Here is a 12,624-nt window from a genome sequence, read left to right on the forward strand (position 1 = left end):
TAATTTATCATATTTAGACTACTTTTTGGACTAAAGATGAACATTTAGCTTATTTACAATTACACATATTATTTGCCACCCAGTTTTAGATAGTTACCTTAATACCTTTAGCTTTTTCACTGATTATTTTATAGCTTTAAATAATACACCAGTGACCCTACATTTGCTTCCTCTTAAATTTTAGCTGTGTGTCTGAAGCTGCTCACTCTATAAGATGTTGCTATTAGCATTCTGTCATTCCATATATCTCACAATTTCTCCCCCTTTCCAACTTCTGTAATATATTATTTTTATATTGTCAAGGTTGATAATATTTTATGGTTTATAGTGGACATAATTAAGCTTTCAGTGTTTGACCTAAAGATTGCATCTAAAAATTGAAATCTACCAAAAATCCTCTAGGGAGTTATAAGCAATTAAATATTATCTCTGCAGAGCAAATTAGTACGGTAAGGTTTTGTTTCATTCTCGATGGGCTCAATACCATCATCTCTATACCACTCAAAGGATCCTAACATAAAGATCAAATGAATTATCTTTCCTATATACCATTAGTTAGTTAAATTGTGCCTCAGTTGGTTTAGTTGCTATCTGGAAACTGATGTCCTTGGGAGAGATTTTATTTTTAAATTTATAAAGGGTGCCTTTTTTTTTTTTTTTTTTACTTTAAGAAGTTTATCTCCACTTTTGCTTCTAAACAGATATGTTCCATTTAGATGAAATACATGGAATTCCTTTGATTTTCTTCTTGCCGTACACTGACTTCTTGTTCTAATTTGAATTGATAGTATTCTAGACTTAGAACTCAGTTCCCCTTCCGTCACTTGAAAATTCTTTTCTTACCGAGTTCCTGGCTTCATTCTACAATTTATTATATCATGTGCCTTCCTCATTCTTGCTTTTCAGCTTCATTTGCTGGAATTACTTAAAAAAAAAAAAAACTACTTGTTTACTTGGGTTAAATATAACAATGGAGCTTCTATGTTTCAAAATAGTTATCATGCGGATAATGGGGAGGCATTCAACTATTTTGAACTAATTTCTGTTAGAGTTGATAACAATTACCACAAAAACACCAAAAAAGCGAAGTAGCATGTCCTGTATTGTTGTTTAAGATAATATATTCAAGATAAACCCAGCTAGGAATATCAACTCTGTTGTGATAGTTGCCTTTCAGCCTAAAGTTGATCAATAATAAACTCTTTGGCAAGTGGAATTCATATTCCCGTGTGAACTGAAAATGATAAATAGTTAATAGCTTTCCTAGGGTCTTCTCTTCTGACACTTTTCAATGATTTCATCATAGTTTCAGAATAAAAGAATATAATTTATTCCAAGAGGCATGAAAATATTCAAGTACTATTCAGATAATTTTCTTAAGTTAGAAGTGTCTTAAGTTAGAAAAAAATATATGTTGCCTGTGCTATGAGAGAAAAAATGTCATTATGAAGTTATAAGCTATTCAAGCTATGGCAATCCCAGTTTTGAATATTTTATATGGCATAAAGCATGCTGAACTATTAAGATAATGAAGCCTCTATACTTTTAAAACAGTTTCTCACAAGTACATGGGCCTTTTTTCCATCTTCTGAAAAATTTACATTTATACAAAATAACCAAATTTATATTTATAATTTTGAATTTATACTTTGATTTTCCTCAGGGTTTTTTTAGATGTTGTACAGAATGGGCTGCATTTTTCCCAATTGCATTAGGGCTGATGCAAACAAGTTTCTCACTAGTTTAGACAAACAATAACTGTAAGATGACTGTAAGGCATATTAAAACACTTGAAACATTGAACAATCGTTAGTATTACATAGATATAGGCATATTGGTTAACAGAATAAATCAGTTTGTTTGAAAGAAACAACCTCTGGAGACTTTTCTGCCGATAATGTGAAGAGTCTGCTTAAACATTTAACAGAGATGGGCTCACTTCAATAAACATTTATTTTGGTATTCAGCATCTTTGGTATCCCAGACTCTAGACTGTTAGCAAAATATATAAAATGTACAAACCTAGGTCTCTATTTTTAAAGACCACATATCCAGGGTAACATCCAGAATCCTCATTTCTACACACAGCACACGAAACAGATGGTATTTACATACGGGGCAATTCTATAGACATATGCAATTCTAAACTCTTCCTCTCCTCCCACCCATTAATATAAGGCACAGGCACATAAAGATACCACACATTTTTGTTCAGTTTTGCTCCCTGGTGTGTGAATTTTTGTATGTCAATAAACAATGGTCACGTTGTGATAGGGATAACAATAAATCTATGAATCTCTTGCAATGATGCAATATATTAGGGGAAGATAGATTTGGGTTCAATATAAGGAATATTCTTATGACTGAGACTTTATAAAAATAAATTATCTTGCATTCAGACATAATTTAGATCATGCATTGCAACGCAGTGGTGCATTGCAATCAATTGGCATGGGTGTACTGGGTGGAACATTTCAACCAATGTTTGAAAATTCGTTTTAACCAATCAACCAATTGGTTAAAAAAACTGATACGGTTGGTTTTTCACAAATAATGTACAAACTTTTTGAAGACGAGTCACCATTTGGCTGTAACAGAGTGTTTACTTCTTACTATACTCTTCCCAAGTCTTTGGCCAAAAGCGGTGGGATGCTGGTAAGGGAAGGATGAGCAATATAAGTAGATACTATAGTAATTCCTCCTATTCGAGGCCCAGTGACATGGGGCACCTGTGCACCTTTGGCTCCTGAGATTTGCTTCTAGGAAGAAATATCAATTAGTGGAACAGGTGATGTCATATGGATAAGCAACTACGGCTTTATTACCTGCACTGACCTGACATTTTAATGCAGTACTTTTTATATATAATTTTAAATTTCATTGTCTCTTTATTTTCATGGCACAAATTCTTCCCCAAGTCATCTCCAGACTTGTAATGCTATTACCATGAGGAGTGCTCTCATTGCAAGAGCACCTGGGAATGGACTCTGTGCAGTTTTCCAAAACTTTAATTCTGCACTTTAAAATCCTTAGAGCAATGCAATGCAGTCCATAGTTTTGATTGCTTTCTTTTTACTTCTCTATAAGAGCTACATAACCCTTTCTGTATATATTAATTTGCTTCTCTTTTATTTTTCTCCCAGTTAAAATAGATGTCTTTCCTACATTTTTCTCTGAATTTCCCATCTGCTTGATATTGTCCACCCAACACACCTATGCCAGTTGATCACAAAGCACCACTGTGCTGCAATGCATGATCTAAATTACCACGTCTGGACACAAGATAATTTATTTCTATAAAGTAGCCGTCATAAGAATATTCCTTATATGAAACCCAAATATATCTTCCACTAATATGTTGCATGAGACCAAGTTTTAAAGTCTCAGGTGATACACATGTACATGATTAGCCTTCAACTATAATTTGAAAAAGAGCTATCAAATATTATCTTAATTATGTTTCTAAATTCCACAAAACCATGTTTTGAGGCATTAAATGGGATGTAAGCAGCTCAGCACAGTGTCTGACACAACAAATGTCCCCAGTGATAGCAGCTAATTGTTATCATGGTCATTATTATTTATTATTATCATCATTATCATTAGCACTACTGATATGACTACTAGTACTAGGACTCTGATTACATCTGATTTCACAAAAAAAAAAAAAAGAAAAGAAAAGAAAACTCACATTACTGACTCCCGGTAAGTCTATAGTCAGGAGGAACCCTTTTTCCCCCACATATTAACTGCTTTATTCTAAGGCTTTTCTTCAAGTAAAAATGCCTTCCATCACAATCAGCTTATTAACATTTTATTTAAAAATCTTTCAAACCATTTTTTTGTCCCATGCACCAAACCAACTGATTTACTGGCCCTAAATGGAATTAGTTGTTTGACATTATGGGGGTATCATGAGGGTATCATGAGCTTGACTATCTCATTTTATCCCTCCTTTATATATAAGAAGTAAGATATATATATATATATATATATATATATATATATATATGAGTATATCTGTGTGTGTGTGTATTTATACAAGCTCAACAGTCAAGCTATAATGGTGATAGTCAAGCTCTCTCTATATATAGACACACACACACAGATATATTCACCATTATAGCTCACTGTTTCCATGGAATAGCCTGAAAAAATATATACATATGATGTCCACATAGGCATCATGTTCCAACCTTAACTAGATAACGTATATTCTCAAAGATATTATTTTTATCATGTCTGCACATCACTAACAAAAATAATTGGTTGAATCCTAAAATAAGTTAATTTACTCAATGAGAAATTAAATTTACTTAAAGAGAGGACGAGAGGAGGAAGCAGTCAAACTTACTCAGCTTGCCTTAGAAACATAAAATTAGAGAATACTAACAATGCAGATAATATTTTTCCTTAAATTGTTATCATCTCAAGTTTATATAACTTTCAGGAAATATGTCATATCAACAAACATTAAGCAAACCCCTTTCTTTTCTGCCTTAATTGGATCAACCTGAACTGAAAATGCTGCTACTTTCTTGCCATAAATAACTGATTATTGTTAAGTGCCTATTATATGCAAAACAAGTAATATTTAAAGAAATATATCTGATTAGTTGGCATCAAAAGGCAAAGATAGAACAAGGAAGCATTTGTGTGCTGAGCAAGTGGTAGGCACAGGAAGTACTTAGCTCAGAGGATAAAAGCATTCTGATGTGACTGGGATAAGACAAACATTCAGTGAGTAAGCAAAAACATGATTTACATTCAAAATTTCCTGCCTACTCTTTAACTGTTATTTTTATTACTCTTTGATGCGGTCCTTTTTATCCAAGAAAGGCACTTGCTCTTACACTCCCTCTCATAATGACATAAGCCTTTTCTCCGTGCTATTCATCCACTTGAATATCTGCATAAGCCAATCCTCACTTCCCTTCATTCTGCCAGACCTTCTTCAAAATTCAGGACAACATGCATCCTTTTCAGGAAACTTCATATAGAAGTCTGCTGGCACTTTCCTCTTGTATCTCAGGGAGAGGGCAACATCTGCCCCTGTCATTTACATCTCAATTTAATGGCATGCCTTATTCATCTCTTGAGCCTAGCATCTGACTATCTGGGAAATCTAGCCCCAGAGCATGCCTGATGAGTCCTGTTTTGGTTAAGGCAGCCAGACCACATTTCCAGTTCTAGATTCACCACTTCTTGGCTTCTGCTTGGATGGGATATTTAACTTCTCTGAGGCTTAGTTTCTCCATCTATAAAATGAGCATAATCTAATCATTATTGTAGGATTCCCAGAAAAACTAAAATAACAGGCATAAAATACTTCCTATAATACCTGGATTATAGCAGATAGTAACAGCCAATAATACTATGATTAGAATGAATGAATACACTCTCCGATGTTAGTCATATATGTATTAGGACCATTTTTGTCTTTCAAGCTTCCTACTGATACATGCATCTTATAAGATTGATCTCTCTCTCTCTCTCTCTCTCTCTCAACCTTTTCCATTCTTTTCATTGTGTCTGTTATCAAGATAAGCATAGTATAGACTCCCTTCGGTCAGAGCCCTTCTTCGTTTCCAGCTCTGTCCCTTTTCATTCAAATGCTCTTCTACTCTTACAAAACAACCAATGGAGAATAAAAGTCGCCATCCTCCAATGATTCTAATTAAATGGATTTCTTTTGTCTTGCAGACTATAGTTTCTGCCATTCATTTTTATCTGGTATATTACAACCAAAATAATATTTTGTCATGTCTTTCTTTATACTATTCATTAAGAATGAGGTCTGTGACTAAAATATATTCGTCTAATTCTACCTTTATTCTTTTTCTGTGATGACATACAATACAAACTTTCAATTCAATGAATATATATTGTTAATGGAAAACCTAATTTGCTCTGTGAGCAGCTTTCTCTTGTGCTCTCTCCCTTCCTTCCTTCCTTCCTCCCTCCCTTTCTTTCTTTTCTTTCTTTCTCCTTCCTTCCTTCTTTCTTCTCCCTTCTTCATCTATCTGTTTACTTTTCTGTTCAGATTTGAGCCAACAGTTTCTTGGGTAGATGACATTGAGGGAAGGAGTAAGGAAAAAGTTGGCATGATCTCTGAAAGTTTGCCTATCCTTTCTCAAACTGAAGGATTTTTTTTTTTATGATGCTGTTCTGAATACCTTGAAAAATTGGGGAAGATGCAATGAGTCAGTCAATTAACAAACTGTCTTAATTTCTCTACTAGAAGAAAAAATGGATATTTAGCTCTGTCATCAGACACTCTGCACATCATTTCTTCTTTAAGTGTGATTTTCTTAAGTAATCTGTTTTAATAGAGCCGATTAATATATTAATGGATTGTGTGAAGGCAGGAACTATGATAATTTTGAGAACACTAACCTACCACACCTTTTCCATGTTAAGCAACTCAAAACATGTTTGATTGCTGCTTGTTGAGAATCTTGTAAATGTTTCTCTTAATTTGTTCATAAGGACTAGCTTTTTTATCATTATTATTCTTGTCCCTTTATGAAAAGTGCTTATTGAATGCTAAATTATATTATGATGGGTTAATTTTGATATGGGAAAATAATTAGTTTGAATTCCCAGATCTTTGTTATTTGCTTCTTACTCATCAATTGTTTATCTGATATTATGGATGTTAATGGTAAAAGAAGTTTGTAATGTGCCTGCATCAATTACCTTAGGACTCAAATATGTTGACTGTAGATTAACTTAAACATTTGAACACAGCTAATGTCCCTAAGAGACAGTATTATCAATTTTTCCACATGACATAATATATGTTATCATAATAAGAAAGTAAATGTTCAGTGTCTACACGATTACTTTACCTTAAGCAATTTTTTAAACTTAAATTTAAAAAATAATAAACAGTACTAATGTAGTTACAGATTTTGAAGTCCAGGTCATAAACAAGCAGTTCTTTGTTTTTAAAATTCAAGTAAGATCTAAAAGTATGCTCTTGCCTGAAATCTCAGCACTTTGAGAGGCCAAGGTGGGTGGATCACTTGAGTTCAGGAGTTCGAGACCAGCCTGGCCAAAGTGGTGAAACCCCATCTCTACTAAAAATACAAAAATTAGCCAGGCATGGTGGCAGGTGCCTGTAATCCCAGCTACTTGGAAGGCTGAGACACGAGAATCGCATGAACCTGGGAGGCGGAAGTTGCAGTAAGCCGAGATAGTGCCTATGCACTCCAGTCGGGGCGACACAGCAAGACTCCGTCTCAAAAAATAAAATGAATAGAAGTGTGCTGTCATCTGAATATTATGCTCCTTACAGTTTCCAAAGCAACTTTTTTAACTTAGAAAAACTGGTGTTTAGTTTGTATTGAAGAAATATCATAAATGCTTTTATGAGCCTAAGAGAAATCACATACACTAATAAATAAAGAGCTTCTTACTTGCCAAGTACAGTTGGGGCCCACTTATACATATTTGATTAGAGTAATTCACTGCCCATCTCTTAGTCTGCAATGACCCTGTTGTAACATGGGATAATTTTAATAAGGAAGACAGTCACAAGTTCATCAAAAGCAGTTTTCCCTCACATTTTTATCCAAATTGTATTATGTGGTCCACATGTCAGTCAGAGAGCAGGAAGTCAATGGCTGGGATTTGGAACACAGGTTAATCTTTCCAGGCTCTGTGAGGCCATGACATTTTCAAGTGTAACAGAATGGAAGCTTCCTGGCCTGAAACGACTAATTCATCTTCCCAGTACACACAGGTGGGGACAGGCCAGATTTCGATTTCATAGTTCACATTTTTCTAATGCAGGAAATTGATAAGCTGTTTTATCTTCACCATGTAAATGTACTGGTTTAAGAGATTTTCTTGTCTTTTCTCTCTTTTAAAATGGTAATACTTGCATTGTGTGGGATTTTGTCTTTTACACACATGTTTAATGTTTGCTTTATAACATCTTTTAGATTTACTTTGTAAAAATTGTCATATATGTAGAATGACCATAAAATTTATCTGATTGGGAGATTTTGAAGATGAAAAAGAGGGAGGCTGGTACAAAAAAGTTTTCAGACCATGGTGTAAATCATGACCATCCCAGGCAAGCTAAGACACCTACTTACCCTTTTGTGATAACAATTAGCCATCTGAAGCTAAAGTGATCTTGGAATGGCTCAAATGGGGGAAGGTAGCTCTACCCTTTACTACCATCTATTTATCCCCTTCATTCTAATGAGATTTCAATGCCTTAAGCTGTCTCAGAGGAATACAGATAAAAAATCCATAGTGATTTCTAATCTATTAATATATATTCAACTCATTTAATTTGATTTATTTATTGCTTTTCTATTTTTTTGGAATAACTTTACCTCAATAGAAATAGCATAATGTGAAAATATTTAACATTACTCAAAAATCTGTGTGTAGTCACTGACATACGATAGCCACAGAATCTTGAACAGTTTCATAAACATTTATCCACAGGATAGTAACTCTAAAATTCCACAGTTCTTGGATTCCAGTTTTATGGCGTCAAGTTTAGTAAAACTGTCTGTCGTACCTATCTGCACTGTAGTTGAAGCACAAAATGTTTCCATTTTTCTTCCTTCTGGTGGTCACAAACAAAATGAAACTTGTGGATTTGCATTTAAAATTTTCATGTATTGTAAACTGAAAATGAGATACAACAACTATCTCATCTCCTGGGCCTTTACCTAATGAAGTAAGATTTATTTTCTGAGCTAGTTAAGGGTTGACCACTCTGTGTAATGTAACTCACTCAATGAAAGGAGGAAGTTGTTACTTTCATTTTTACTTATTTGTTTCTGATACATAAATAATGAAGGATGTTCCATGGAATGGATGCCTACTGGTGACCCATATTTAGGTGTCCTTTACAGTCTCCAGGAGTTGTTAGTCAAATATGCTGGTACAGGAGAGTTCACTGTAATCTCAGGTCATAGTAAAATGAATGACCATGTCAACTCCCATAGCACACTCATCATCGTAGCCAACGGGTATTGCCTGGTACTCTGCCATTACCAGCTGGCACTGATCACTGAACTCCTTGTAACTGTGAGCATGTACTTGGGGAGAAATCAAAGTCTCTTCTCCAGAACACATAGCTTCCTTTGTTCACCACAGCCTTATCTTATATGTGTAGACTGCGTGTGAAGGCAGACTCAAGAGTACTTTCAGAACAGTAGATACTGTGGAGGGTTGGGTACCAAGGGACCTTCTAAAGGAATGTGCCAATGAGGTCTGACGTGCTACAGTTTGCTCAAGAATAATCATGTCTGCAAGGAGTACCTGTTATTTGCTCAATGTTGAAGCTGAATAAACAGAGGGTTTCTAAAATTAGAATCATCTGGGCTGTGAAGAGAGCACATGTAGAGAGGCAGATGGAGGCACACCCCAGAGGCCTTACGGTCTCCCTAGTACATCACTCACTTTCACACCAGGGATTTCCTCGGGCTTCTGTGTCCCTTAGGCCTGAAATACTGTCTGGAATCCCTACTTTCTCTTTTCTATTGCTCAAAACACTGTATCTTGAGAAACTCTCAAGTCACCCTAATCAGAAGTAGAAATCCAATAAAGAATCTAGTTTAGTTTTTAAAATGCATATGCTCTTCACTAAGAGTAATTCTATTATAAAATAAAAGATGCACCACAGTAAAATAATACCAATGGCTTTACTTGTAACAAGTTCTTTTAGTCATTAATGTTTACAACTTACAGCCTAACAGCATGCCAAAAATCATTGCCATAGAGTGAGGGAAAGAAGGGTGGAGAGGAAGAGAAGTGGGAAGAAAGAAGAAAGGAAAAAGAGAGGAAGAAAAAGAGAGAGAAATAAGTAAAAGGAAAAGAAGAAAAGAGAAAAAATCTCTGCATAACTTCAGCATCCTCATCAGATGAAACAACAGCCCAATTCTGCAGGCATCTCTCAAAATATTTCACTGTGGCACACAGAGATTCCTCCATGGGAAGGAACTAAGTCGCAGAGGCAGTAAAACTCAGCTACCTTAAAATAAATTTATTAAAGCATTTATATATTTATCCATGGGAAAGAAAAAGTCTAAATCAGCTACCTTTAGGAGAATATATTAAACTAATTAGTCTTAACACCAACACAGCAGGGAAAACCAAAATAAAGCTGTGATCAGCAAATAAGCAAACCCCACAGTGGAAAACGAAGACGTGAGATAAGGAAAAGGCAAAAGTCCACCATTTTAAAAAGGAGGAAAAGTAGCAATAACCTTGAAGAAACAGCCAATCTTATATTTCCTGAAAATGGCATGATTGTGTATTCAGGAGAAAATATTTATTCAGCATGTTGGTTTACTTACGAGCATTCTATTTTGTGTTTGTGATTTTTGACATCATATTCATACATTTCATATCATAAGTCATTCTTTTCAATGCCGTTTAATACCCTGCCAGTGCTACATGTATCTTATTTTGGAAATGTAAATATCTTGGTTAGTTGTTTAATATCTTAGGTATCATGAAAATAGCTCAACATATTTTTTTCCTTTACTTAGTAATTGAAACTCCAAATTTCAGAATTTCATTTAGAGCTGACACTGAAAATATCCAGGAAGGGAATGGTTTCTTACTGCTACATAGGAAGAAAAGAAAATGTTCACATTAGGCTATATTTATGCTATACCAAACTACTGATATATATATATATATATATATATATATATATACACATACACATATATATACATATATATGTATATATATATGTATATCAGTGTATATGTGTATATATATATGTCAGTATATATATACTGTTTTATATATATATATATCTGTCTGTGTGTGTGTGTGTGTGTGTGTGTGTGTGTGTGTATATATATATTTTTTTTTTTTTTTTGGGGGGGGTTGGACAGAGTCTTGCTCTGTTGCCCAGGCTGGAGTGCAATGGGAGGATCATGGCTCACTTCAGCCTCAATCTCCCGGGCTCAGCTGATCCTCCCTCCTCAGCCTTCTGTGTAGCTGGGACTGCAGGCACATACCACCACGCTCAGATAATTTTTGTATTTTCAGTAGAGACGGGATTTCACCATGTTGCCCAGGATGGTCTCAAACTCCCGGGCTCAAGCGATCCACCAGCCTTAGCCTACCAAAGTGCTGGGATTGCAGGCATAAGCCACTGCACCCTGCTTACATAAATGTAAAAACATTTGAACAATAGGGGTGCCTGCATAGTATTCAACTACTAGTACAATTTCTTGCTAAAATCTGAACTGGTCACTTTCATCGACATCTATTTTTATTTTCTCTGGTATTCTTATGTGTCATTTTTAGGAATATGAAATAATTCACACTGCTTTTCTTTTTTAATTTAATTTTATTTATTTATTTTGAGGCGGAGTCTCGCTCTGTCACCCAGGCTGGAGTGCAGTGGTGCGATCTCGGCTCACTGCAAGCTCCGCCTCCCGGGTTCACACCATTCTCCTGCCTCAACCTCCCGAGTAGCTGGGACCACAGGCGCTGCCACCACGCCCAGATAATTTTTTTTTTTTTTTTGTATTTTTAGTAGAGACGGGGTTTCACCGTGTTAGCCAGGATGGTCTCGATCTCCTGACCTCGTGATCCACCCGCCTCGGCCTCCCAAAGTGCTGGGATTACAGGCGTGAGCCACCGCGCCTGGCCACATTGCTTTTCTTAAAGAAGGTTTTTATTTCATTAAGAGAAATTCTGGTAGTATTTCTGCCATCCCACCTATTACAGTCATCATTAAAGCATAATCAAGATTATTTTAAGAATCTGTGAGATATATTGTACCTTATTTATTTATCACCAGCCCCTTTTCTAAATTTAATCTGAATCATTTTCTCTTTGATTTGTCACCTCTTATCTAATAGATTTTACTGTATTTTACAATATGCAGACCCATAGCATTCTATGTTCTACTAAATGATGTAAATATATTTTAGAATTGATATGTAAAACCTGCAACTAAATCTGCAACTAAATAAATGTCATAAACAAGTAGTCCCTATGAGTAACAAGAATTCAAAGTGCTTCCACATAATGCTGTTTAATATTTAGATCATTTAGATATCGATTATTCAATGACTTGATATAGATATAAATCTCTGTATGTATTATGGGCCTTTTGAAGATGGGTTATTGCATGGATCTTCTCTGCATGATAGACACCCATCTATATTTTCTAACATCATAAGTTAAACATGATCATCAAGACTGAAGACAGTTTGGAGACAGGTACAAAGCCACAATCTCAGTCTAAAACAGTTGGGCCAATTGTGTTTCAGTTCAGAAGTTTTCTGGGTCTAGAACAATAAGGGATGCATATACTAGATGTTATAGAACATATACATGTGGGCATCTGGATAAGCACCAGCTAATTAAAAACAAATGTTCCTGTTCAGCAAAATAATGAGTGTTTATAAAAATATAAAATATAATTACATATCTTCATATCAATTGAGATCAAGGCTTGTCGCTGACTTAGTTTGAGTCAGGCCAGGTTTTGCCACATAGAGAATTGTATGGGAAAAACATCAGATTTCAGAGACTTTAGGATTGTGAAATTATAAACAATGAATTATGCACATATACTAGTTTTACTATATATGGAGGTAAAAGGGAGGTATTTGTTGAATA

General features: G+C 35.0%; 1 protein-coding gene across 29 annotated transcripts in view; it reads left to right on the top strand.

The window, feature by feature from the left end:
* ROBO2 (roundabout guidance receptor 2) overlaps positions 1 to 12,624 on the top strand; it is a 1,743,290-nt gene that overhangs the window by 650,285 nt on the left and 1,080,381 nt on the right. The window lies entirely within an intron of this gene.

The sequence above is a fragment of the Homo sapiens genome, chromosome 3, assembly GCF_000001405.40.
Source record: "Homo sapiens chromosome 3, GRCh38.p14 Primary Assembly".
In the NCBI taxonomy this organism is placed as follows: domain Eukaryota; kingdom Metazoa; phylum Chordata; class Mammalia; order Primates; family Hominidae; genus Homo; species Homo sapiens.